Source organism: Homo sapiens, chromosome 6, assembly GCF_000001405.40.
Source record: "Homo sapiens chromosome 6, GRCh38.p14 Primary Assembly".
Taxonomy (NCBI): Eukaryota; Metazoa; Chordata; class Mammalia; order Primates; family Hominidae; genus Homo; species Homo sapiens.
In genome coordinates this window covers 32,389,295-32,415,971 of record NC_000006.12, presented here as the reverse complement: position 1 = coordinate 32,415,971, position 26,677 = coordinate 32,389,295, and the positions used below count along the sequence as shown (strand labels likewise).

Here is a 26,677-nt window from a genome sequence, read left to right as displayed (position 1 = left end):
CTCTCCCTATCTCCCTCATATCCTCTCTGGCTCTCTCTCTCTCTCTGTCCTTCTCTCCTCCTCTCTTTCCCCCGCATTCTCCCAGGGTGGTTCAGTGGCAGAATTCTGCTGGGACCTTTAAGAGAGAGAAGCATATTCAGCAGCAGCAGCAGTTTTCCTATTCCTGCCCCCATCCGCGGCTTTGAACTGAGTTTACCACGAAATACAAAAACACAATTTTAGAAAGAAAGATATTGGCAGTTAAGATTTGGGAAGTTTCTAAATGGGACTCTCAGTCCTTCCCGCCACTCTGAAATCGCGGTGCAGTAGTAAAATCTTGGAGGCGGTTCTTGAACAAACCTGTCATCTACTGGCCATGTGTGGAACTGCAACAGCCCGGTGGGGAATGCACTTCGCAGAGATGGAGATCCTCTCAGAGGCCCCAAGAGGACCAAGTAAAAGAACCCAGGATGAATGGCAGGCTGGATGGGTGCAAATGCAGGAGGCTTAGTATATCGGTATGATTTTCTTTGCCTTCTTTCTCCCAATATTTGGAAGGGTCCCCTATTTCCAGTGTGAGACATGCCCGGATATCTCTGTGAGTGCAGCTTCTTTGGGGTCCTGGGAGGAGTGTGATGGTATTAACACATTCTGTACACCCTCTCCCCGCAATTCCCCAAGGGGGCATCTGCATTAGTTTTGGAGTCAACTGAGGTGGGTTTCACCGAAGCTTACATCTCTTCCTGGGAACTTTAGTCTTATAGGCTCCCACCTGCAGTAGAATCAATTTTAGGTAATTTCATCATTTTCAAAAAATAATAGATGATCATTGTGATTGTCTTAAACTTCTGTAACTCTTTCATAAAAGTAAATTTAAAAGTAAAAATTTATTTTATTTTATTTTATTTATTTTTTGAGACAGAGTCTCACTCTGTTGCCCAGGCTGGAGTGCAATGGCGCAATTTCAGCTCACTGCAACCTCCGCCTCCCAGGTTCAAGTGATTCTCCTACCTTAGCCTCTGGAGTAGCTGGGATTACAGGCGTGCACCACCACGCCCAGCTAATTTTTGTATTTTTAGTAAAAACGGGGTTTCACCATGTTGCCCAGGCTGGTCTCAAACTCCTGACCTCAGGTGATTCACATGCCTCGGCCTCCCAAAGTGCTGAAATTACAGGTGTGAGCCACCACACCCAACCTAAATTTTTTAAAATTAAAAGTTTTAGAGGAACTGGTTTGTCAGACACTTTTTGTAAAGTATATGACAGCCATGTATGTAAAGAGCTCAACTTAGACTGTAGGTCAGCCAGAACTAAGAATACCTCAGTCCTCCATCCCTAAATGTTTGGGCATTTTCCTATTCAGAAGTTCTACTGCCTGCCCTTCCTCCTTTCTTCTCTTTTCTTTCTTTTCTTCTTTTTTCTTTTCTTTTCTTTCCCTCCCTCCTTCCTCCCCCCTCCCTCCCTTCCTCCCTTTCTTCCTTTCTTCTTTCCTTCTTTTTGCCAATCAAGAAAAATGGCCAGAGGTGCAGATTGAACCGTGGCCACGCTGTGAGGAAAGGCCTCCGTCCTGTGAGCACCACCCTCCCCTCACTGGCCTCGGGAATCCCAGGCCCCCCACTCACATCTGGGGGAGGAGTCGCAGGGCTTCTGCAGGTGCTCTCTCTCCTCCAGTCAGTCAGCAAACCGAGGGGACTGTGGAGGACAAGCCACTGTGCCTCCAGGAGATGAGAGCTGCTGATTTTTCTTTCCTTTCCCTGAGGAAACGATACCTGTATAAGTCTCACTGCTGGGAGACTCCACAAAGTAATCATCTTTCTGGTGAGTTGATCTAAGAGCTCTCAAAACATCTTTCAACCAGGTCCCCAAGAAACAGCTGATGGCGTCGCCTGAACTTCTCCATATTCATAGCAACACTTTCCTGACATTTCTTGGATTGACCTTGATTTCTTATCTTCATTTCTAATCTCCTCTATTTTTCTATCCACCTTCTTTCCAAGACCTTCCATTCCCAGTAATGACACCTAATAGCTATAAAGGGATTTTGTATCATGATTATATTCTTACTTTATCCTTACAACGATACTTTAATGTGAGCCACCCACATACTATCCCTGTGTAAAAACTAAGAAAATTGAGACCCCTGGAAAGAACAGACTTACCCAAAGTAAAGCTTGCCCAAATGTATAGCAAAGCTAGAATGAAAATCTCAGTCAGCCTAAACTCAGGGCTTCTTTTGTCGTCTAGTGGCTGAGGGAGTTATGAATGTGGGTCACAGGTGACCGCCGCATTTGAAGAAGAGTCTGTAAGTGAATCGACTTGCGGAACATCCTTGAAGCCGACAGTGAGCCCGTCTCTGCTGCCCTCTGGTGGCCAGGCAGATCCATGACTCCCCTCTCCTGTTCCTCCTGCCCTCGCCGGATGCTTGTTTTTCCCTCTCCTCAGTTCTAGCAGCTTATGCCTTGTTTTCCCGCTTCTCCTGGAGGTGGACTCTAGTCAGAATGCAGAGATTGTGACTCCTTTTTTTCTCTCCCACACACCAACATCTTCCTGCACAAAATGACCTCCCATAATATGTAGCATAATTTAGGACACAGTTCTCAGCACAGGCAGACCTCTGAGAAAGTGTATGCAGATGATTTGTGAGAACACACACACGCGAGTGTAAACGGAGCTTCTTTACGCGGTGAGTTGGCGCTGATGTGACTGACCATAAAAAATTCAAATAATTGCAGCATTTGGTACCATAGAGATGATACTACAGAATGCATGCAATGAGCGGCATCTTTTCACACATTCAGGTGTATAAAGTAAATTTCTATATTTTCCTATTACGGATTTTAATTTGTATGCCAAGCATTATTATGTCTTCTGACAGAGGAGTTCATCTGGTAATTTCCAGATAAATTCAGGGGCTTTCACACAATTAATTTAATAGCAGCCTCTCCTTCACCTGCCGTGTGATTTCTAAGTTCTGAGGTGGGAGGCGGAGCAGGGCTGGTGTAGAAGTCTCTCCTCACATTTGCATCATCAGCTCCCACAATATGTCACTATCGCGTCGTGTTTCCTGGTCGTCACTGTCCTTCCCACAGTGGTGACGATCACTGTTATGTCCTTGATGCCACTCTCCTCTTGCTGGAACATTCCATCCCAGCATTTTAGGCAGCAAACTTTCATCCCACTGTTGGAGCCTTCCAGAGTCTGCCACTTCTTGCCTTGGAGAACTTTTCCTTTGCTGCCACTCTGAGAGGGACATCTGTGGGCATCGCTACCATTCTGGGAACCGGAGGTGAAGTGGGGTTCATTCCCCTCTACTCCAATTGAGAGAGAACCAGGGTAAAGAGACCCTCCTATCCTCGTCCATGTTTAATTATGTTTCTCTTCTCTCCAAATCTCTCATCCTCTACAGTGAGGGGAGGGTCTTTGTCTAGACTGAAGGATGGAGGGGGAAACCCTTACATTAAGAATCGTAACCGTAAGTCAGGGGACCCAATTATGGGCTGCTCATAATGGGAGGGAAAGAAACTTAAGGAAAAAATCGGCTCAAACCTTGTAACATCATAATGCTGCATATGCTTTTATCATTACATTGACATGAAAATCTGCAATTAAATTAAAAATTGTTCTGGAGAACTCTTGAAATCCTGAGACTATATCTGAGACCCCCTCTAGCTCAAGGAACACAGACTTAAGGGGAACGTAAAGGAAAATCTGGCAGAAACAAAAACACACACAAAATATGCCTATCATTATACTCTTCATGCCCAAATATTATGCTGAGAAGGTTATTACATTTCTTTGGTAAACATCTGAGAGTAATTAAACCTTTTATTACTCAGCAAAGGGAGATAAAGTACCTGAGTAAAAAGAGCAATAAAGTAGCCCACAAGGGACCTTGGCCCAGAGCTCTGATCCTGGAGAGGGCAGTTCCTTTCTCTGGGTCTCTGTTTTCTCATCAGTGGAATGAGGGATGGCACGTTTGATATTCAGTTTTGCTTCCAACTCCAGCCCGATGAGTGCCATGCTCTGGTGGAGACTTGGCACTAGTTGGGAATCTTTGATGTGTGGCAAGGTGGAGGGAAGGGTGGATAGCACCCGCTGATGTGTGGGACGGTGGGGTCTGTGTGAGGACCTAACTGGGGGGTTGCAGATGAGGCCTCCATGAAGGCCTTGGCTTTCTGGGGAAGGTGAGAATTGCCAGTGTCATGATTTTGTGTGCACGTCTGCAGAATTCACAACTGAACCCAGCCAAAGTCCACTTGTCCCCGGAGTTTCACTGTTGAGAGGATTATAGCTGTTAGGAGGTGAATGTGCTATTCTGATTTTCAGAATGCAATCTCATTTTCACAGGGCCTCCGGGATTTGGCTCTGCCTTCAACTGGGGTGAGACGGCTTAAATCCTCCTTCACCCAAAGTCCTGGAGGAGGCCTCCACACTCTCTGGCTCTCCCACAGTTCTGTCTTTGATCAGCACACCCCAGGGCTCTGACCTGTTTCTGACCACCTGCTATGTGGATGAAGATACATCTGGGGCTAAGTGAGAAGACCCAGTAGCACCAGGTTTCGCCCCAAAGGAGAGAGGGAGACACGTGAGTGGTTTGGATTCCCTGGTGAAGGATGGCCACGGGAAGCTGGGGACATTGTCTCAGATTACAGAGTAGGACATACGGACAGAATCAATGTCCTTTAGGGAAATGCTGCCACCTGTTACACTGCCTCCCACTTACATTTATATCCCACTGCGCAGTCTTCAAAGTGCGATTGTAGCCCATTTGACCCTCACAGTGTTCTTGTGAAGCAGGCTGAGTGAGGAAGAAGCACGAAATTAAAAACGAGAAAACCAGGATCACATTTTCATTTGTCATGGATGATGTGGGGCATGTGTCCCTGAGCCTTGACGTCTTCTTATGTCACATGGTCATGACACAGCTTGGAAAACATTAGGATGATTGTCTCCACCACACAGCAGAGAAAATACAGGCTCAAAAAAGTAAAGAAAGATGTCCAAGGTCACACACACACACACAAAAACCCAATTCACTTTGTCTCCTAGAAATCTTATTTTAGCTTTCTCTATAAAAATGTATTGTTTTAACATATGATAAACTATAGCTGTTTTTTTTTTTAATTTTTTTTTTTTATTATACTCTAAGTTTTAGGGTACATGTGCACATTGTGCAGGTTAGTTACATATGTATACATGTGCCATGCTGGTGCGCTGCACCCACTAATGTGTCATCTAGCATTAGGTATATCTCCCAATGCTATCCCTCCCCCCTCCCCCGACCCCACCACAGTCCCCAGAGTGTGATATTCCCCTTCCTGTGTCCATGTGATCTCATTGTTCAATTCCCACCTATGAGTGAGAATATGCGGTGTTTGGTTTTTTGTTCTTGCGATAGTTTACTGAGAATGATGGTTTCCAATTTCATCCATGTCCCTACAAAGGATATGAACTCATCATTTTTTATGGCTGCATAGTATTCCATGGTGTATATGTGCCACATTTTCTTAATCCAGTCTATCCCTTCCTTACACCTTATACAAAAATCAATTCAAGATGGATTAAAGATTTAAACGTTAAACCTAAAACCATAAAAACCCTAGAAGAAAACCTAGGCATTACCATTCAGGACATAGGCGTGGGCAAGGACTTCATGTCCAAAACACCAAAAGCAATGGCAACAAAAGACAAAATTGACAAATGGGATCTAATTAAACTAAAGAGCTTCTGCACAGCAAAAGAAACTACCATCAGAGTGAACAGGCAACCTACAACATGGGAGAAAATTTTCGCAACCTACTCATCTGACAAAGGGCTAATATCCAGAATCTACAATGAACTCAAACAAATTTACAAGAAAAAAACAAACTATAGCTGTTTTTAATGTCTACATAGATACATAAGCTTTCAACTTCGTGAACTAAGATACATAAGCTTTCAACTTCGTGAACTAAGTTAATTTATTCTTACCAGTCAGTTACTATGGCTGCTTGGCATTTTGAGGAGCAACATTTGAGGCTTTTACTGAAAAAAGTTCTAATGACCCATGCATGATACGTAGTAATTTGCAATTTTCTTTGATATGAGTTTTAGCAGTGCAGGATAGGCCTTGAAATTCAGAATTGTTCATCATCTAATGCCTAAACATAAGCTACCACTTATTATTACAATTTAACACTTAAACTTTATCCAGAAAATTAAATTAAATTAAACATGGGTTTTTGAGAATTTGATGATACATTTGCATATTAGATCATATATCTTGACAACACCAAAATTTACTATATTTAATAGGAACAGCAGTTTCAGAAGATTCTTGCATTACATCCAAATAGTAAAACGGAGGGGTCAAAAGCTTATCATTTTAAAAGGTTTTTACTTAAAGATGGCAATTTAAGTCTAGTTATCTATTTTCAAAAAATGTGCCAAAGCTTTTCAGCATCCTGACAGCAAACCCTGTGGCAGGGCATTTCCTCGGCACCACCGGCCTTCTGGGCTGGATGACTCTTTGTTGTGGGGGCTGCCACGTGCCTCATAGAATGTTTAGCAACACCCCTGGTTTCTACTCAATATATGTCCCCTCCCCCAGTCGTGACAACTGAAAATGTTCCCAGACATTGCCAAATGTCCTCTAAGGGCAAAACAGCCTCTTTGCCCATTAAGAACCCTGGTCCAAGGTGGTTATCCTCCCTGATATATTCTCTCACAGTCTATCTGAGCACTGGAGATGGATTCTCCCAACATTCTTCGAAAGCTTCATTGATTTGAGCAATTTTTTTGAGAGTTCACTTGTAGATTTTCCCTCCCACCGCTTTGACATGAAAGACCTACAGGAACGCAAGCCTCTGAAGTGGTCTGTAGCAAGTGTGAGTTCATTTTAGTTCACAAGGCTGAGAAATCATGCTTGGTATGGATGTTGTGGGGCTTTCTTTACTCTTACTTGGTGGAAAAAAATGTTCCTGCTTTTCACAAAAGGAGTCAGGGAGGCATCAGCAACACCCTTCAGTCTAAGGGGAGGTGACTGGTAAGTTTCAGGTGGCAAGGTGCTCATGGTCTGCACTGTCTTCTAACACCCAACCCCATTTTCACATAAATATCATACTGCCCTTTTCGATCTAGGTATTGTGAATGGGCTCATATAAGTTTCCTTAGAGATATCTTATATGAAAGTACATATTTTTTATAAAGCAAATGGGCAATATTTGTGTAACAACAATCTCCTGACTCATTTGATTGTTAAATCTCCATTTCAGAATGTTGATTTTTACCCCTGTCCCATAAAATCTTACTAGCAGTAGTTTCTTGGAAAGGGGGAAACTGTAATTGACTTGACATTGCTCCTGAGCTGGTTTCTCTACTTTGTGTGAAGCAAGTTTTCTTTCAATAAAATACTTGACACATCACATATAATAAGTCTTAGACTTCTTTCACTCTGAAGTTTGTATTTTTCAATGGTAAAACTAGCCTTCTATCCTTGTCCTGGTAAGTTTTAAAGTTTTTAGCTGTGTGAAGTATTTTTGTTCAGCTGGGACAGTGGGGTTGCTGGGTTTGCCAGTTTCTGCCAGTTGGGCTTTTTGTTTTTTTAATTCATTCGTGTTTTTAAGTCTATTCTAAAAGGCCACTTACAGATATTTTCCCGACTATCTTTCTACTACTCTTTCTTTCACTTTCCACGGCATCTCTGTGTCCCGGGTTCTCTGAGCGCTAGCACTGAATGTTGGCTTTCTGGCTGCAGTGTGGAGACGCAGAGCCTTCCTGCCCTTTCCTCCATGTGTAGAAAACAGTGGTAAAGAAAGGCTTTGCAGGAGGAGTTGGGAGGAGGACAGGAAAAAATATTTGAATCTTGCTCTATAAGTTTTGCAAGCTCACAACAGATGAACCTAAGGAGTTTTGTTTGCTTTGGTTTGGTTTGGGGTTTTTTTAATATTATTGTTCCTTTACCTCAAGTGTTTTTTCATTTCAGTCACAAGACTTCCTTACACCTAAAAAATTGCTTAAAATATTGTCTCATGAAATTAGGGTTGCTGAGGCAGGAATAATTTCATAAAGTTCTATTGGAAGGCAAATGTCAGGACTGATGTAGGAAGACACACCAACGAAGTTGAGGGTGGTCCAAAGTCTGTTACAAGTTGGAAGGCTTTTGTAAGGAAGTTCAGGCAGAAAGAAAGGGGCTCTTCATATTGGAGTTGTCTTTTTTCACTGGAGGGTACAATACAGAGGTTACAATCATTGGACACAGATGACAATATATAGACTAAAATATTTCATGCACAAAACAATCAGTAAAACTTTATGATTCAGAAACAAATCCATATCCTTTTCGATGTCAGGAGGTTACATATTAACCACTACATCAAATTAGCTCAGAAGCTACATTGAAGCCGAACTACATCAACGTTTGGGTGTATGAGCAGATCTGGTTATAGGTTACAGAGGTATCCTTCAATCAGACGTTATCTTATGTGTAGGAAAAGGCAAGGACTATTATTGCTTATCTTTTAAGGAGTAGAGTGACTCAGGCAAGAGAGATGGGAGGCCGTGTGCTCAATCTTGTTTTGTCTTTGAAGCATCTTTCTGGAGAACTGCAGGTCATCACAGCAGGGGCTTTGTGAAAGTATGCTAGCAAGCCGAAATGAGCAAGCAAGGCTTCTTACATTTGCTACATTGTCTCACAATATAACACGTTAGGTAAAGGGTTGGATGTGATCAGTAATTGCAGAGAAATGGAGCCAAGCCCATTTCACTGACTGTGCAGGGGTTGATGTGGATTCTCTGCTAAGACTGCATAACCAATGGAAGCCATGGAGTGTGCCGGGTGTGTCACAGCCTCACTTAGGCACAGCGTTTCCTTGTCTTTGTTCCAGGGAGGATGGTGGATTTTCCAGGCTACAATCTGTCTGGTGCAGTCGCCTCCTTCCTATTCATCCTGCTGACAATGAAGCAGTCAGGTAGGATTCCCTTCTCCCTTTACTGTATAGTCTAATGTCCCAGTGAGCTAGTCTGGGTCCAAAGGTCGAGAACAACATCTAAGAGTGTAAGTCTGGGGCCAAGCCACCTGTATCCAAAAAGGAACTCCTCACTTTTGAGGAGCTCCTCCACTCCCAGGAGCTCCTCCACTCCTAGCTGAGTCACCTTTGGAAAGTTACTTGAGCACCTCATACCTTAGTTCTTTCATCTTTTTAATGAGAATAACAGCAGTAACTACATCTCAGAGGCCAGCACAGGCTTTAGGATTAAATGAGACATTAAAAGCACTTGAATCAGTGGTTGCACCACGTTAAATTATTAATTCACTCTAGTACTTTGGGGTCAAGAAATGCAGCTGCTTCTTATCATAAATTAAGCTGCAATTAAAAAAAATACTTGGAAATAAGAAATTAGAAGAAAGGGACTTTGGAAATCTCACTAGCTGAATTTTGACGTCAAAATGTTGCACCTTGAAAAATAATTATTTAAAAATTCAGTGTCAAAAAAAAAAAATCAGTGTCAGAAGGAGATGTCAGAGCCCTAAGGAAAATGCAGCATGGCGAAGTGGGAAAAAACACGACACAGAGCATCAGAGGGCGCAGGCTCTGCCTCGGCACCGCAGAGCTGGTGTGTCTGCCTCGGTGCCGCAGAGCTGGTGTGTCTGCCTTGGCGCTGCAGAGCTGGTGTGATGTGATGAAGCTGCTGGCTTCTCTGTGCTTGTGCTGCAGCTCCCTACCCTGTAACAGTCAATCTGATGGAATGTCTTCAGTTCTAGCTTCATATTTAGACTTCATCAATGAAGAATACAAGCAGATCTCCACTTAGGCTCTTTAGCCACCTTTTGAGCAGCATCTATTTGATACCCAGCAGCAGCTAAGTAGGGTGAGGTTCTTCCTAGCAGGATTGGATCTGCACAGAGAAAGAGCAAATGGCCCCGGAGCATTTAGAATGAGAAAGAACATATCATACATGACATAAAATGATCAAACATAATAACATACATAACTGTTAAACATCTCTTCAATTTGCAGATAACAAGGAAGAGATCAGACATGTCTTAGAATTTGTTTGGAAGACCCAAAAATCTCTAGACAAACCAGTGTCCTTAATCCAGCACAAAATGTCCTTGTGAAAACTGCATTGTACATAGTCCCAGTAATTGGCCTCCTGCCAACTCCAGACGGGAAAAAAACAAACAAAAAAAAAACAAAAAAAAAACAGTTTTTATATCTAAGAGAAGAGGAATCCTGAAAGGCTAAAAAAAGCTAATAAATGGATTTATTATCTAAACTTCAGGAAAATAAAATGTTAATAACAAGAATAAGGTTTCCAATTTAAAAAGTCAATTTACATGAGAATAAATGACTCAAGGAATAAATAATTTACTTGAGAATAAAAACAACCCAGGTATGCTGGTATTAATATCTTGAAGATGAAGAAATTAGGACTTCAAATCTCAAAATCTTACCAAGAGTAATAGATTTGCCACCGAATCACATAGCTGGTAGGTGACAGACAGCAACCTCACCCACATTTTTGAACTGCATTTGTTTTCAGTACACAAAATTGACTCTGTAACAAACAGATGTGCAAATCATCATGCTGGATTTCTCTAAAACATTAAACATATATCTCTCCCTCTTCTAGTTGCCTCCATTTTGACAGGCTGGACACCCCAAAGCATGCATATGATTTTCTGATTGGCATTTCCTCGTTCCTCTTTTTCACTTATTTTATAGAAGACTTTAGAGTCATTGGCCCTGCTCATCCTATCCTGGCCGGGGTTGGGGAAGATGCCCTGTTAACCTGCCAGCTACTCCCCAAGAGGACCACAATGCACGTGGAGGTGAGGTGGTACCGCTCAGAGCCCAGCACACCTGTGTTTGTGCACAGGGATGGAGTGGAGGTGACTGAGATGCAGATGGAGGAGTACAGAGGCTGGGTAGAGTGGATAGAGAATGGCATTGCAAAGGGAAATGTGGCACTGAAGATACACAACATCCAGCCCTCCGACAATGGACAATACTGGTGCCATTTCCAGGATGGGAACTACTGTGGAGAAACAAGCTTGCTGCTCAAAGTAGCAGGTGAATATCTGGGGAAAGACACAGGGTCTCAAGAGGCAGAGATATATTAATTTGTGGTAAGCTTTGTGACAGTTGAGGAAATCCTTTTGAATCATCAAGGTAATTCCTAATGCTTAGTCCTCTACCCTGATTGATTTAAAAATAAGTGGTTCTGGAGTCTTCAAGCTTAGTGTTAAAATATTTTCCCAAATTTAATTTGCACAGTTTTGACTGTTCTTGAGGATTATTTGGAATCCATGACATGCAGTCTTTAGCAATTTTGCTGAGACACACATTTGTGCTACCTAAGGCTGGTGCGCAAGAGCAAACCAATTGCTGCATGAATGAGCCCAGCTGACGTCCGGCATCTGTATCTCAGGGCATTGGTTTTTCTCTACCCAATCCCATCTATGCAGAAACTGAGACGTGAAAATGTTCTTTCCTTGTGAAATGCCCTCAGTTAGAAAGCTATCAACAAGACTGAAAAGGCTAAGAATGTCGTGCTTTGGAGATTGTTATATACTAGTGTTCAATGAATTGGGGACTCACAGATGCTTTTGGACACACCCTCTGTGAATGGGAAGGTTCTTCATATTGCTGTTGTATTAGCTAAGCAGGAAGGAGTAGGGAAGAAGGGGACAACTGAAGAATGGATCTGTCTTATGAAAAGTAAACTATCATATGATTCCCTGACAGGGCTAACTTCTCCATGCTCTAAAGAGAAAATCAAGTAAATCCAATTACTAAGGCAAATGGGGAAAATAGTTCTCTGGAGATGTTAACGTCTCCAGCTGATACTGCTTCCTTCTTTACTTCCCTGGGAGGCTGTTTCCTAATACCTTTTTTTTTCTTAACATCCATTACTGTTACTGTGTTCAAGGTGATTCAAAATGGATGGAGGAATACATATATTTCTGACATGGGGGGACAGGGAACGTACTGATGTATTTCAATATCAGGAACATTTACAAATAAGTCACACATTTTCTAAGGGTCCAAGGGAAGGGAGTGGATCTCTCTTTTACCAGCAAGTGATTAAGACAGAATTCCCATTTATGGAAAATATAGTCCCCTTAGTTTGGGTGTGGGAGTTTCACGTTAAATAGAGAAAAAAAATTCATGATTTCATAAACTGTTGTAAACTAGGATTTCTCAAAACCATCTTACCCATTGAATAGAATATTTAGCTACAAATAACGCCTCGTGGAGATTCGCATTTCACATGCTCCCGTTTATCCACTTGCTTCCGAAGATCACAGCCACCAGCAAAAGATGCAGGAAGAACAGGCCCCTGGGGAGTGATTTCTGACTTTGTGTTAAATCTTCAATCAAATTGGAGTTCAAGACATCATCTAAAATACCAGACAATGTGCCCAATACAGATAATTTTAAGATGAAAAAGGCAGAGTTCATGGCACAGAGGAATTAATGAATAAATTACAGCTCATCTCTGTTTGCAGTGCTAGAGGCGTTGCAAAATGTCATGATGTCCCCCTTCTCCGATTCCCCTTTCTGGATCTGGAGAAAAGTACTGGTCAGATGCTAAAATGTAAAGACCCAGACTGGGGAACAAATAAAGTGTATCTGAACTCACATTTGAATGGGGAGACTGAGGTCGACTTTCTGCTCCTCAGACTCCTGAACTCCGGCCACCTCCCTGTGAGCAACGTCACTGGGATCTCAGCCTCTGTGATTTCTGCCTCTGTGGGCTCTGGGTGTCAGAGCTGTGGCTTCCCTCTGCAGGTCTGGGGTCTGCCCCTAGCATCCACATGGAGGGACCTGGGGAGAGTGGAGTCCAGCTTGTGTGCACTGCAAGGGGCTGGTTCCCAGAGCCCCAGGTGTATTGGGAAGACATCCGGGGAGAGAAGCTGCTGGCCGTGTCTGAGCATCGCATCCAAGATAAAGATGGCCTGTTCTATGCGGAAGCCACCCTGGTGGTCAGGAACGCCTCTGCAGAGTCTGTGTCCTGCTTGGTCCACAACCCCGTCCTCACTGAGGAGAAGGGGTCGGTCATCAGCCTCCCAGGTCAGTGCTCTGCCTCTAGGACCCACATGCTCAGATCAGCAGGAGAGGTCCCAGGGACTGCACCATAGCACCTCGTATTTTTATCAAGAGACATTATCTATCATATAGCAATATGTATTGAAAGCCATAAAACATTTATGACTGGAAATATACGCACTACATTTTACTTGAATAGCTGTTATGGCGCCTGCGTTATTTTTGAGTTCTACCTTTCCTTCTTCTGCATTGATTGTTTTTACTCACAAGTATTCATTGCATTGTAAAGAAAATAAAGCTATATTTCTTCAACTGAAATGTTTTCCTATGCTGTCTTGTGCTGATTACTTCTAGAAATCTATCATATGAAGATAATCAGAGATGTAGACAACTATTTGCATAATAGAATATTAATTATGGCCTTATTTATAAATAGCAGCAAAAACAACCAACCCCCCAATACAACAGTACAGTGTGGAATCTTGTCTTACTATACATTATAGCATTAATAAAAAGATATTTTTAAATAATTTTAATGGTTGAAAAAAATCCTCATGATGCACTATTCAATGATAAACATGACATCTACCTATAAATTGACATTTCCAATCACATAAAAGTTACTGGCCTTAAATAACTTATAACTGCACTAAAACTTTCAGGATACCCTCCACATTTGGATATAAGTATACAGTTATTCATATAAATGGATAGATTAAAAAAACTTTAAAGTTAATGTTACATTTTAATTTTAAATGAAGCTGATTGTATATTACATATAATTCGTCTCTCTACTTTGTAATTTAGGTGATACTGTTTATGTCCATATAATTTTGTACTTTCTGTGTATCTATAAAAGGAACATATGTTATTTTCATGCTGATAGCTAAGTATTTATGCTGTAAATATCAGAAGAAACCAACAGAATCATGGGGAGATAGAAGTGACAGCATTTTTGTTGTGCAGAGAAAAGGAAAAAAAGCTGTATCATTGGGTAATCTGTGGGAAAGAATCAGTATTTTTCTGCATTTCATTTTTTTAATGAATTGAGCTTCCCTATATAATGTATAAATTGCTTTCTTTTTTAAAAAATAGTTTCTCTCCTTTCCCTTACACCAAATTCCTTAATATGTTATTCTTGTTCTTTTTCCAGAGAAACTCCAGACTGAGCTGGGTAAGTACGAGGTGCTGGCACACACCTGTGGAGGGAGCCTCTGCCCTCCCCAGCAGAGGGAGGGGAGCTACCACGAGACCATGTGACCCAGAGGAAAAACTGAGGCACGATTTTACCAGGTCCTATGTTCATTAAATACCAGAGGAGACCAGCAAAGTAATGGCCTCATTCAAGGAGGTTGCAGCTGTGTTACCTGACACTTTGGGGGCTCATGGAGATTCCAGTGAGCATCAGATGGACACCTATAGGAAGCATGGCATCATCTCTGTTCTATGTGTTGAGGGGAAAGGGAGCTGCCTCAGAATGTGTGGGGGATGACAGCAGACAGCTGGCCGGGGCCTGGAGGCCCTTTGAAAACATTTCAAGTGTGAACAAGGGCAGCATCATTATGACAACCTGGGTTGCACCCAGCACCTCCCTGCTCAACTCTGCTATGGGGTCCTGCACCTGCTCCTCACCCCAGTACACCCCTAAGCTAATCACTATTGGGAGGGAGCTGTTACTTTCTGAGTGCAACCTGGGATACTGTGAGTGTAGCAATTTTTTTTTTTTTTTTTTTTTTTTTTTTTTTTTTTTTGAGACGGAGTCTTGCTCTGTCGCCCAGGCTGGAGTGCAGTGGCGCGATCTTGGCTCACTGCAAGCTCCGCCTCCCAGGTTCAGGCCATTCTCCTGCCTCAGCCTCCCAAGTAGCTGGGACTACAGGCAACCGCCACCACGCCCGGCTAATTTTTTGTATTTTTAGTAGAGACGAGATTTCACCGTGTTAGCCAGGATGGTCTCGATCTCCTGATCTCGTGATCCCCCCACCTCAGCCTCCCAAAGTGCTGGGATTACAGGCGTGAGCCACCACGCCGGGCATTTTTTTTTTTTTTGAGACGGAGTCTCGCTCTGTTGCCCAAGCTGGAGTGCAATGGCGCCATCTTGGCTCACTGCAACCTCCATCTCCTGGATTCAAGCTATTCTCCTGCTTCAGCCTCCTGAGTAACTGGGACTACAGGCATGCGCCACCACACCCAGCTAATTTTTTTTTTTTTTTTTTAGTAGAGACGGGGTTTCACCATGTTGGCCAGGATGGTCTCGATCTCCTGACCTCATGATCCGCCGGCCTTGGCCTCCCAAAGGTGCTGGGATTACAGGCATGAGCCACTGCACCCAGCCTAATTTTTGTTTTTTAAATCTCGGAGTTGGACTGAGGGTATTATTTTGCTGCACCTGAGATAAGTGGTTTAAAACATAACCAGCCGATGGCTGAGCCCCTTTGAGTTTCCCCTTTACCTCCTTACTAGCTCCCTCCTTTTTATGGCCTCTTCTCCCAGCCCAAGGCAACCAGCCTGCCTCCCTGCCTAGGTGCATAGAACGTGGATCCCTTATGTGCTCTTTCCATCAATTCCTTGCTCTCCATCAAGTCACCTGCTCCAGGAATGTGTATCCATGTGTGTGCTTTAGGTGAGCTTAAGCACACCTTTCAGCCCACAAAAGAGTTTTTGAGGAAAATCAGGGTAACAAACACAACCCAATCTCTACCAGAGTCTACTATGGCACCTTCAACCCCATTAGGCCATAAACATAAAGGGAAGGGTCCCTGGAAGGCGCAAAGTAACTCCACAATCTGAGGAGAGACACACACCTGTGTATCTTACCCTTCTGAGATCAGGAAGTAAAGCCAGTGTTTGGGGCAGGTTGACACAAGTCTGTCTCTCAAGAAGGTTTTAGGAGAAGAGTCACTCCTCTGAGTTCTCTGAGACCCACTGGAGACCCAGCACACACAATACGACCCCATGTCCTGTTGTTCCTAAGTCATGGTAACCTCCGGGGCCACAATTAACCAACACGGAAAGATGGAGCTTCCCTTTGCTTCCTGTCAGGTGGGAGAGGAGGGCTCTGGGCACGGAAGCTTTGCAGGTGAGCTCTAATGATGGGACACCCAGCTCTCTATGGAAGTCCTAAGACTGAAATCACTGCTTGTAGTCTTACAAATAATGTTTTTCATTTATAAAAATAATAGTTTTTAAAAATATTAATTGTATGCCAGGCACGATGCTGAATATGTTATGGGAATTATTTCATTTTTTCTTACAATAATTATAAAGTTTAATTGCTTTATCCTCATATTACAGCTAAGAAACAATCTTAGAGACATACATGGTTTGCCAAAAATCAGGAAGAAATGGTGATGTTTACCTTCTAATCTACATCTATCTAACTTAACAGTGCAAGTCCTTAATTACTTATGTGTGACTTTGTCAGCTCATTCATCTCTATTTTTCTCATCTTTAAAGTGAACAGGTTGAATTTAATCTCTAATGTAGTGTCCAGTTCTAAGAGATTAGATATAACTTAGCATATTTGAGAAATGAGATAGTGCATTAATTGAATATGCTGATTGAAAGAGGATTATGTGGTATGATGATGAGATTATCAGGTTTCAAGGAATCAGTGTATAATTCAGTGTACTTCACGCTCCAGAAGGGAATTAATTTTTCAGTGGATATTCAGAAGGCATTCAGAACATACAAACAATAACCAAAACAAAACAAAGCAATACATTTCAGCACAAAATTGTCTGGAAGGCTGTGTACAAAACCGTATAGAAAAAGGAGGTTAACTACTGCATGTTCACACTTATAAGGGGGAGCTGATTGGTGAGAACACATGGATGCATGGCAGGGAACAACACACACTGGACACCTGTTGGGGGATGGGGGAGGGAGAGCATCAGGAAGAACAGCTAATGGATGCTGGGCTTAACACCTGGGTGATGGGATGACCTGTGCAGTAAGCCACCATGGCACATGTTTACCTATGTAACAAACCTGCACATCCTGCACATGTACCCCGGAACTTAAAATTGAAAGAAAAAAAAAGTGGGTTAGGCATAGTGGCTCCCAAGGAGCTTGTATTCTAGTAGAACATCAATTATTAACAAACAGGGCTGCATGATTTTTTTAGCACTTTAAACTTTAGTTTTACTTGGATTCTGGACAAAAGGAGTTTTGTCTGTATCTGTAATGCATCAAATTAATTGAATCTCCATACTTACATTTTGCTTCCTTCAGTCTCCATTGAAGTCAATTTTAGCTCTTAATTACCTATGTCAGGCAGGGCAAGCCAGTTTAAGATCTAATATGTGCACAGGTCACACACGGACAGGGAATAAAATCCTCATATGGATAAAGGAGATGAGGAAACAGTCTGTTTTATTAAGTAATTTACCGTAAGCCATGTGGATGCAGAAACAGCCCCAAACTAATCCCTAGTCCATTTTTTCTGATTCTTGTCTTCAGACTTTAATAGATACATAGGAGAGGAAAATAATATTGTTTTAGGTAAAATTACAGGACAAAGCAAACAAAATGCTGGAAATAACTGGGAGTCAACTGTTACCTGGAATGGAAGGTAATAATCTGAAAATTCAAATTGTGTTGACAGGGACTTTCCTCTCTACAAAGGTAGCTGGCAGTTTTCGGCCAATGACATAATGGGATGTTAACGCCTTTGGCCAGTGACTCTATGCAGAGAACCAACAATTTTATGCTTGTGTTTCTATTATAAATGATCACACCTTATGCAAAACCATTCTTATCATTTAACAGAAAAGGACGACACTTAATTTAGAATAGAGAAAAAATGGCACGGGCAGGGCCTGATGAGAATGGAAAATGTAATATAGCTTGGGCCCAGGAAAGCCCTCAGAGAACATCTTTCCCCACTTTGCACAGTGAGAGAATTAGACCCCTTTTTTACATTCATCATTGTTTCACAATTTGTACTTTGCCGACTTCCCCAATTATTGATCTTAAAATGTTAATTTTAATTTTCAAAATTATTTGAGGACATTCAACTGGTGTGTGTCTATAACTCCACCTATGTGGAGCATTGGGGAAATAAAATATAGCGGCTGGACCAGACTTACAAGGTACTATAAAGTCCACCTAGAGGAAAGCTTCTTCAAATATCATTACCAAAAGTCCACATGAGACATGTTTTTAAACCCCTCCCTATTACCACGTCAGAGGGTGGGGATGGCTCCAACGCCTTCAAGTCTCACAGGTCTGTGCACCTCTGCTCACGCTGCAGGGTCTTCCAGGCACTTAATGCAAACTATTTTGTTCAACTCTGAAACATTATGATTTTGGTAGTTGTATAGCAAATTTACAGTTTAAGAAACTGAGGCATTAAGAAGTAGTTTAAGACAGATTAAGAAGTAGTTTAAAATCATACAGAATTGAAGTGTTAGAAGAAAAACTTTAGACAGACTAAATTTAGCAGAGTCTAACTGAGAAAAGGATGACTCATAAACAAGCCATCCCTCAGAATCAGAACGGTTTCAGAGAATTCAAAGCAGCAATTTGGTCAGACAGCATTTATGGACAGAAAATGGAAATGAGGTACAGAAAACAGAAGTGAGGTACAGAGACAGCTCTATTGGTTGCAGCCTGGCGTTTGCCGATTTGAACAGGGTTTCAACAGTTGGCTGCCTGCAACTAACAGAAGTGCAGCAGCTGCTACTCAGCTATTTATTACAAAAGTGTACTCCTAAGTTAGCCTTAGCTCCTAAGTTAGGCTTATTCATAAAATAATTTTGCAATTAAAACTCTCAGAATAAAATGAGCAATTTATAAATTTGGCCCCAGGATGCCTCTGTACCTGAGTGCTTATGTAACAAACTGCAACCTAAGTTAGGCTTTCAGTAGTTGACGTACTAAGTTAAATTGCAGTTTGTTACATAAGGAGTCAGGTACAGAGGCATCTGGGGCCAAATTTATAAACTGTTCACTTTATTCTGGGTGTTTTTTGTTTGTTTGTTTTTAAAGTCTCGCTTTGTCACCCAGCCTGGAGTGCAGTGGCATGATCTCAGCTCACTGCAACCTCTGCCTCCCGGGTTCGAGCAATTTTTCCACCTCAGCCTCCTGAGTAGCTGGGATTACAGGCACCCACCATCATGCCCGACTAATTTTTGTATTTCTGTAGAGACGGGGTTTCACCATGTTGGCCAGGCTGGTCTTGAACTCCTGACCTCTGGTGATCCACCCGCTTCGGCCTCCCAAAGTGCTGGGATTATAGACTTGAGCCACCACACCCAGCCTATCTGGGAGTTTTAATTGCAAAATTATTTTATTATTGGTCTGTAAACTGAAAAAAATACAGGTAGAAGCAGGTAGGGATTCAATTACTGTTTTACTCAGACTGACACACATCATGGAATGATTCCTCCTTAAAGAAGAGCAACCTCTATTCTGAGTCCATGAAACCCCCACCTCACCTAAGGATGACCCTGAGCCTCACAGCAACCCTGGGATGCTCATGGTTTCTAAACTCCAATGGAGCTGTTCTTAGAGATGACATTATTGGTTCCATTTTGATTCTTTCATTGTGTTTTGTCCACTCTATTTAACAGCTTCTTTAAAAGTGAATGGACCTTCCCAGCCCATCCTCGTCAGAGTGGGAGAAGATATACAGCTAACCTGTTACCTGTCCCCCAAGGCGAATGCACAGAGCATGGAGGTGAGGTGGGACCGATCCCACCGTTACCCTGCTGTGCATGTGTATATGGATGGGGACCATGTGGCTGGAGAGCAGATGGCAGAGTACAGAGGGAGGACTGTACTGGTGAGTGACGCCATTGACGAGGGCAGACTGACCCTGCAGATACTCAGTGCCAGACCTTCGGACGACGGGCAGTACCGCTGCCTTTTTGAAAAAGATGATGTCTACCAGGAGGCCAGTTTGGATCTGAAGGTGGTAAGTAAGAATTCTAGATAGATATTTTGTATTCAATACCTGCTCCTGCCACTTTAATATGCTAGTTCCTGGACAATTTCTCTGACATTTGAAATTTTCTTAATGCTTATTCATCATCAAATTTATATCAAATCCTCCAGTGTGTGAAACTGTCATAGTTACTTAAAATCCACAAACTCAAATGGATGAAATTTAATTATTTGGGCATATAACTTGTATCTTTTCCAGTATCTTCAAAAATTGACCATATCTTTAAGGAAATCTGAGTATCTTACTACATATTTTACAAAAGGCTCATTGTTTCACAGTGTGTTATTAGAATTCTGAGAAATGCAATAAAATTCTAGAAACTGTAATCATCTGAAGACTAAACTGGATCCACTGTGTAAACCAAAATTATAAATATTGACAGTTTTGGCAGGGACAGGGGAGAAAAGATGAAATCACTCCCTGCAGCATCATTTCCCACTGTCCGTGTGTGTGAGAATTGAAACGTCCAAGGTTAGCAGATGCCATTGAGTACATATAGGCCCAAGTCTTGGATATGCTACGTGTTTCTCCCACGGATTTTGATTCTAAATTAATAAACACGTTTAGCCATGGGAGCGCATGTTGAGAAGTTTCATGAGCCTCGTATTTTCTGCCATTGGACGTAGATATTTATAAGGTTTCGATTTTTGAGAATATCCTCCTACTCCGTATGTTAATCCTGTCCATGTGACCCATGCCCTGGCCGAAGTTATTTTGTTCTCAGGGACAGAATAAATGTTGGATTTGAACATTTACCTTACCTCTTAATCATCCCAGAATGATTTAGGAATACAAAGAATAAAAATAAGCAAACAAACAAAATAAGAAAATGCTCCAGCCAGCCTCATCCCTAAGTGGAGTGCAATCCCCCTTAAGCTTTTCTCCCTTCCCCAAGCCCTCCACATCCCCTTCTTTCCTCCCAGTGAAATTGCTGCCCACTCATCCACTTGAAAGGACCCCAGGCTTTGGTTGCTTTCTCTGCCCCAGGTCTGGGTTCTTCCCCACTGATCACTGTGGAGGGGCAAGAAGATGGAGAAATGCAGCCGATGTGCTCTTCAGATGGGTGGTTCCCACAGCCCCACGTGCCATGGAGGGACATGGAAGGAAAGACGATACCATCATCTTCCCAGGCCCTGACTCAAGGCAGCCACGGGCTGTTCCACGTGCAGACATTGCTAAGGGTCACAAACATCTCCGCTGTGGACGTCACTTGTTCCATCAGCATCCCCTTTTTGGGCGAGGAGAAAATCGCAACTTTTTCTCTCTCAGGTTGGTGATTCCTTATGTTCCTTCAGGTTTGGAAAATAAATATGAAGACCAACTCAGACTTACTCATTGTATTGCTCTTCTTCCTTTGTGATTTTTATTTGCTGATCTCTGACGAGGTCTCCTGCTATCCTCTGCAAAGCTGGTTTTCAGGACACCCAGGGATTCTACTCCTCTGAGTTTCTCTCTGACACCCTCAACTAGCGCCCTGCAATTATTTTTATCATTGGATACACACTAAATTCTCGTAATTGACCCTGTTTTCACTCTCTCTCTTTAAATTCTCTTCTTCTGATGTGAAAACAATTAAATTACAGAACTTTGTGTTTTCCCCCTCATGGAGGATTTTCTTCTGGATTAGAAACTGATTTTTATTAATACCATCTTCATGGTTGCGGCTTGAGTAATTTTATCCTTTCCTCCTCAAGTCATTCCAGTGATTGTGTGATATAGTTGGAAGAGAGAAGGGAAAACTTGTCTGTGCATGTGTACATTTCTGAGACGAGCAAACATGAAATACTTGCATTCTCTCCTCTGCATCTCCAGAGCAGGGAGGAGCAGGCCAACTGCTTCCTGGGAGGCCAAATTCTCTCCCTTCTCTCCAGCCTAGAAGCTGCTCAGATGAAAAGTACAATCTTAATATTGTCCCAGTTTCACAGTTTCAAGGGATTCTTGGGTTTCCATTTTAGAGTCCAGGATGACGTTTTTGTGGAAAACACTGCTTGTTTGGGGATTGCTTCTTGCTGTGGCTGTAGGCCTGCCCAGGAAGAGGAGCTGAAAAGAGGTAAGTCAGGGAAACAGAAACAGCGGAGCACACTGCAGTGGGAACCGTACTGCGTACTTCCCCGAGCCTCCCTTTTCACAAGTCACCTATGGGAGGCAGTCAGTGAATATCCAGTAACTAAGGAAACATGAGAAACAGGAAAGCCCAGGGCTTATCATGCAATCCAGGCTCAGTGATGCATGAGGTCAGTGTTTCCACTTGTAATAGAAGCAAAATGATTAAAAGATAATGATTTGATTTCCTGCTGCCCATTCCCCAGTGATCTGGTTAGGGAAGAAGAAGAAAAAAGTGAGTAGTACAGCCATCCTTGTTTTCAAGGCTGAGAGCTGAGGTTCACTGAGATTTGTTGGCGTGAACAATTTCCTATGATCTTTAAAAATGTGGTGACCTACTTGTTGGTGATTTCTGTGTTGCTGGTGACTTCTCATGTGTTAGGGAGGCTGTTTTGTGTGCTCTAGAAAGTGCTTCCACTTTAAATTTCTTATGTCCGTGAAACACTTGTCTTCCTGTTTGGCTGTTAATAGAATGAAATTATATTGATTAATTATCAGAATGGATTCTCTTTCTTTACAGTGAATGTGACATTGGCTTCAAACACAGCTCACCTGAGACTGATTTCTTCTGAACAGAACAAGCGTGTGATCCATGGACATTCAGGCAGCCAGATATCCCACAGAGATCTGACTATCTGCTCTATGGGCCAGAGGGAACTCCTGTCAGGGAGCTGGTACTGAGAGGTGGAGACTGGGAACAGGGCGCGATGGGTCCCGGAGGTTGCCAAGCACATGTTGCAAAGAAAGAGTCATCTCTGTGTCACCTGACAGTGAGTTTTAGGCAATGGATTGCAAAAGAAATGAGTTCTGGGCCATCCCCTCTCTTCCAAGCCCCATCCCCTTGAAGGTGGCCCCTGAACAAGTCAGAATCCCCCTGACCGTGCCTCTGAATACCTCTCCTCTTATAACATGATTGGCAAGTGCCCTATCTACACCTTCCCCAAAACTTCCTTCTCTGGGACTCTGCACCCCGCTTCATTCTTTGGTTCCCTAATGTAGGTTCTCTGGACATTTTTTCTGTACCCACAAGAACATCTCCAACGTATCAGGAAAATAACAATCTGGGATTCTGGAAACCAGAATGATATTCTGAGTCCTGATCATTTCTCATTTCTCTAACTGCTTGAAGGGGGCTGCCATGATCATTGAAGTACTAACTCAAGGTGTTTTAATTCTACTCAGGAAAATCTGCTGGAGACTGATCTTTTCAGAGACCTATCCTGTTCCAGGTTCTCTGAGATCCGGCCTATCAATCACAATCTGACATCTGATAATCAAGGACCCTTAGAAAATCCCATGGGAAATACAATTTAGCCTACAGGAAGAAATGAAAGGAATAATCAAGGATTTGGTCAGTTTCTTTTTTTTTTTTTTTTTCTTTTCTTTTTTTTTTTTTTTTTTTTTTTCTGAGACAAAGTCTCACTCTGTCACCCAGGCTGGAGTGCAGTGGCATGATCTCAGCTGACTGCAACCTCTGCCTCCCGGGTTCAAGCAATTCTCTTGCCTCAGTCTCATGAGTAGCTGGGATTACAGGCATGTGCCACCATGCCCAGCCTATTTTTGTATTTTTAGTAGAGATGGGGTTTCACTTTGTTGGCCAGGCTGGTCTCAAACTTCTGGCCTCAAATGATCCACTCGCCTCGGCCTCCCAAAGTGCTGGAATTACAGGCATGAGCCACCACACCTGGCCTGATCAGTTTATTTAAGATGGTGACAATTAATTGTCCACATAGGTGGAACTGAGAAAATAAAAAATATATATATACAGTTAAAAAAAAGTGAAAGAAAATACAGCTGCATAAGGGGGAGAAAAATCTGATCACTAAAATATAATCTTGAAAATCTTATGAAGTGTTGTAAAATCCCTCCTCCAGACTTTTTGAGAAAGTTGATACAGGAAATTGAGTCAGGAAAAAAATTTTACACTTTCCGATCCAAGCGAAAAATTATGTATCATCTATACGAACATGTCAATTTTATTGTTAGAGCAAAATAAAGTGCACAATTTAAAATTAATAATTATAAAATAAACAAATATAAGCAGTACATGTAACACAGTAAAAATATTTTAAAGTTATAATGAGTTCAAGAAGATAAACTATATGTGGAAGACAGAAGAATGTCAACAAGACTTTTGGAAAGAATGTTATGAAGTGAGAAGACGAGGACCTGCTAGTGACGCTCTGCTGCTCTCCAGGATGGCAGACGTCAGAGGCATCGCGGTCCCATGCGGATCACTCATGAACAGCACTCTGAACTTGCTCTTCTGGGCCATCATTTTTTTTTCTATTTTTAAACTCATAAATTTAAACACATAAATGTTAGAAACTACACATTATTCTTCCACAAATGTTTACACATTAATTTTAATAAACATTTTTTTCAATTGTGGTAAAATACATAACATAAAATAAAACCCTTTAACCATTTTAAAGTGTACAGTTCTGTGGTATTGTATATGTGACATTGCTGTGTGACCATCATCATCACTTTCTAGTTCCAGAATATTTTCATCGCCCTAAACGAAACTTCATACCCATTAAGCAGTTACTACCCATTTTTCACCCCCTACTCCCCAGGTAATCTACTTTCTGTCCCTATGAACTTTTCTATTCTGAATATTTTATATAAATGGAACCATAAACTATCTGTGTATGTGTATGTGTATGTGGCTTCTTTCCCTTAGCCTAATATTTTTAGAGTTCTTCCATGTCATAGCATGTATCAGTGCTTCTTTCCTTTTTAAAAAAAAAATTAACAGACATTATTTTTAAGAACAGTTTTAGATTTATAACAAAATAAAATGGAAAATCCAGAGAGCTCCTAGATCCCTCCTCTCTCCCCCCTATTTCTGCTATTATTAACATCTTACATTAGTGTGGCACATTTGTTACAACCCATGAAAGAATAGTGACACATTATTTTCAACTAAAGTCCACAGTTTTACATTAGGTTCACCTTTTGTTTATATAATCTCTGGAGTTTAACAAATGATTTTTACATTTACATTGATCTATCTTTATATTTATGAAGACTTAAATTTATTAGTAAATATACTAGGTTTACCTGAAAATATTTTAACACTATTTTGATTTAATGTAATTAAAAATAATTTATTGCACAACATCTAAAGGTTAACTATTATTTTTCACTTACTTTTGAGTCTTCCTTCCCAGTGAATGTAGCTCTTTGCTTGTTAGTCTGTGCTTGTGAAGGCCCTATGAATACATATATTCACTTTCCAGGGAGAAAGTCTCAAGAAAATTGGTTTTATCAGTCACATTCTCTCACTGTATATTAGAAAACATACTTTCCTATAGCTTCCCAAATTGGTGATTAATGTACTTTCTGAGTTCCAGTTCCAGTTAGAAAAGCCACAGGAAGGAGAGGGGTTGGTGGCATTGAGGATGATGCCCCAGTCACTGGAAGTCCCTGTGGCTGTTGGGTGGGTAATCGGGTTGGTGCCTCAGGATACAGTTCCCTCCCCTCCTGGTGTGTAGACAGCTGGGTGTAGTCATTAAAGTGGGGCCACTCTCAGAATAAATGTGCAGATTGGCTGGATCTCAGTTTCAGGGAGAGGACAGGAGGAAGCCACAGAGACTGAATTGTTAACTCCCTGACATTTTCCTCCTTTGTCAGTACAATTTAACTTCCATGAGGACAGTGATTTTTTTCCTTCTTGTCTAGCCCCACAACCTGTAAAAATGACATACATTGATTATCAATAAACATTTGTAAAATGCATGAATTGTCTCATAAAGTGATATTTATTGAATATCTTACCTGTTGAATGTACTATGCTAAGGCCTAGAGATACAATCCTTAATAAGACATAATTCCTGCCCTCAGGTCTTTCTTTTTTGCAGTGGAGTCACTCTGTTTTTGGAATGTCTTATTATACCTTCATAAACTTTACTAAAAATGGGAGTGCCAGAGTAGTCCAGCAATAAAGAATTAATTGATGTAGCCAGGTGGTGAATTCACTTTTCCAGAAAGGATAGGCTACTTGGAGACCCTGCACTACTTATTGATTTACTCAAAGCTACAAATGAAAATAAGATGGACACTGTTATCCCTGACAGGTCTAAAGCTCTGAGTCCAATCAACCATCCACCTTCACGTTTTCTACCATGTCCACCTGCAGCCACTGCTCCCCAATCTCTAAGCTTAGAAGGACAAACACCCATTAAAATGAGTAAAGAAGTGACAAGTTTAAGAATCTTGTTGTAGAAAAAATATGAATTTAGACTCTGAAAAAGAGATAGTAAAAACTCCTCTTGAACCTCATGCTGAATGTCCTAAGTGTATAAAAAAGTAAAATGTCTAAGGCTGAACCTGTTACATTTCGTGTTCTATACCACAGTTCCACCCCATTTGTTCCTGTTTTGTTGTTACCCCCATGTTTAGGGCTCGCATGTCCAGAAATCCCTTCTCATCCACCATGTCCATTTGATTATAACTATTAATATTTTATCACCATTTATTTACCTCTGTCCTGCCTTGATTATTTCTTGATGAAATATGTAAGCCTCCCTTTAGGGTCAGTGAAATTAGGACTAGGCTCTGGCTTGATTCTTCCTGGCTTCGAATACTGTCTTTGCCACTTAGTGTGTGA

The 26,677-nt window shown here is 41.8% G+C and overlaps 1 protein-coding gene and 2 long non-coding RNA genes across 3 annotated transcripts in view, besides 2 other annotated features; 1 reads left to right on the top strand and 2 right to left on the bottom strand.

Annotated features, from left to right (window-relative positions):
- Positions 1,126-1,274: a silencer, noted in NCBI's record as "fragment chr6:32382475-32382623 (GRCh37/hg19 assembly coordinates)". NCBI's record gives its function as "represses an EF-1alpha promoter that drives an FKBP-Casp9 reporter gene in an ReSE screen in HepG2 liver carcinoma cells {active_cell/tissue: HepG2}" and the evidence as "EXISTENCE:reporter gene assay evidence [ECO:0000049][PMID:32094911]".
- Positions 1,471-1,746: a silencer, noted in NCBI's record as "fragment chr6:32382003-32382278 (GRCh37/hg19 assembly coordinates)". NCBI's record gives its function as "represses an EF-1alpha promoter that drives an FKBP-Casp9 reporter gene in an ReSE screen in K562 erythroleukemia cells {active_cell/tissue: K562}" and the evidence as "EXISTENCE:reporter gene assay evidence [ECO:0000049][PMID:32094911]".
- The window catches only part of TSBP1-AS1 (TSBP1 and BTNL2 antisense RNA 1), a 152,558-nt gene continuing 134,122 nt past the window's right edge, over positions 8,242-26,677 (bottom strand). Inside the window, exons 3-4 of the long non-coding RNA NR_136245.1 lie at positions 10,415-10,518; positions 8,242-9,855 (exon numbers count right to left, since the gene is read on the bottom strand). This is a non-coding gene — a long non-coding RNA (TSBP1 and BTNL2 antisense RNA 1). The remainder of the gene's footprint in view (positions 9,856-10,414; positions 10,519-26,677) is intronic.
- Positions 8,791-22,633, top strand: BTNL2 (butyrophilin like 2). The gene is made up of 8 exons (NM_001304561.2): positions 8,791-8,927; positions 10,686-11,033; positions 12,756-13,037; positions 14,167-14,187; positions 19,586-19,933; positions 20,947-21,228; positions 21,915-22,009; positions 22,583-22,633. The coding sequence occupies exons 1-7, from the start codon at positions 8,849-8,851 to the stop codon at positions 22,001-22,003; spliced, it is 1,449 nt and encodes a 482-aa protein (NP_001291490.1). The 5' UTR covers positions 8,791-8,848; the 3' UTR covers positions 22,004-22,009; positions 22,583-22,633.
- Positions 22,281-25,462, bottom strand: HCG23 (HLA complex group 23). Its single transcript, NR_044996.1, has 3 exons — positions 25,219-25,462; positions 24,232-24,359; positions 22,281-22,523 (listed from the first exon to the last, which is right to left on the bottom strand). It is a non-coding gene; the product is annotated as an HLA complex group 23 (long non-coding RNA).

Coding starts and splice junctions, on each gene's coding strand:
- BTNL2 (NM_001304561.2), top strand. CDS start 8,849: ATGGTGGATTTTCCAGGCTACAATCTGTCTGGTGCAGTCGCCTCCTTC. Junction 8,928..10,685: donor GCTGACAATGAAGCAGTCAG/GTAGGATTCCCT, acceptor CTTATTTTATAG/AAGACTTTAGAGTCATTGGC. Junction 14,188..19,585: donor GAAACTCCAGACTGAGCTGG/GTAAGTACGAGG, acceptor TCTATTTAACAG/CTTCTTTAAAAGTGAATGGA.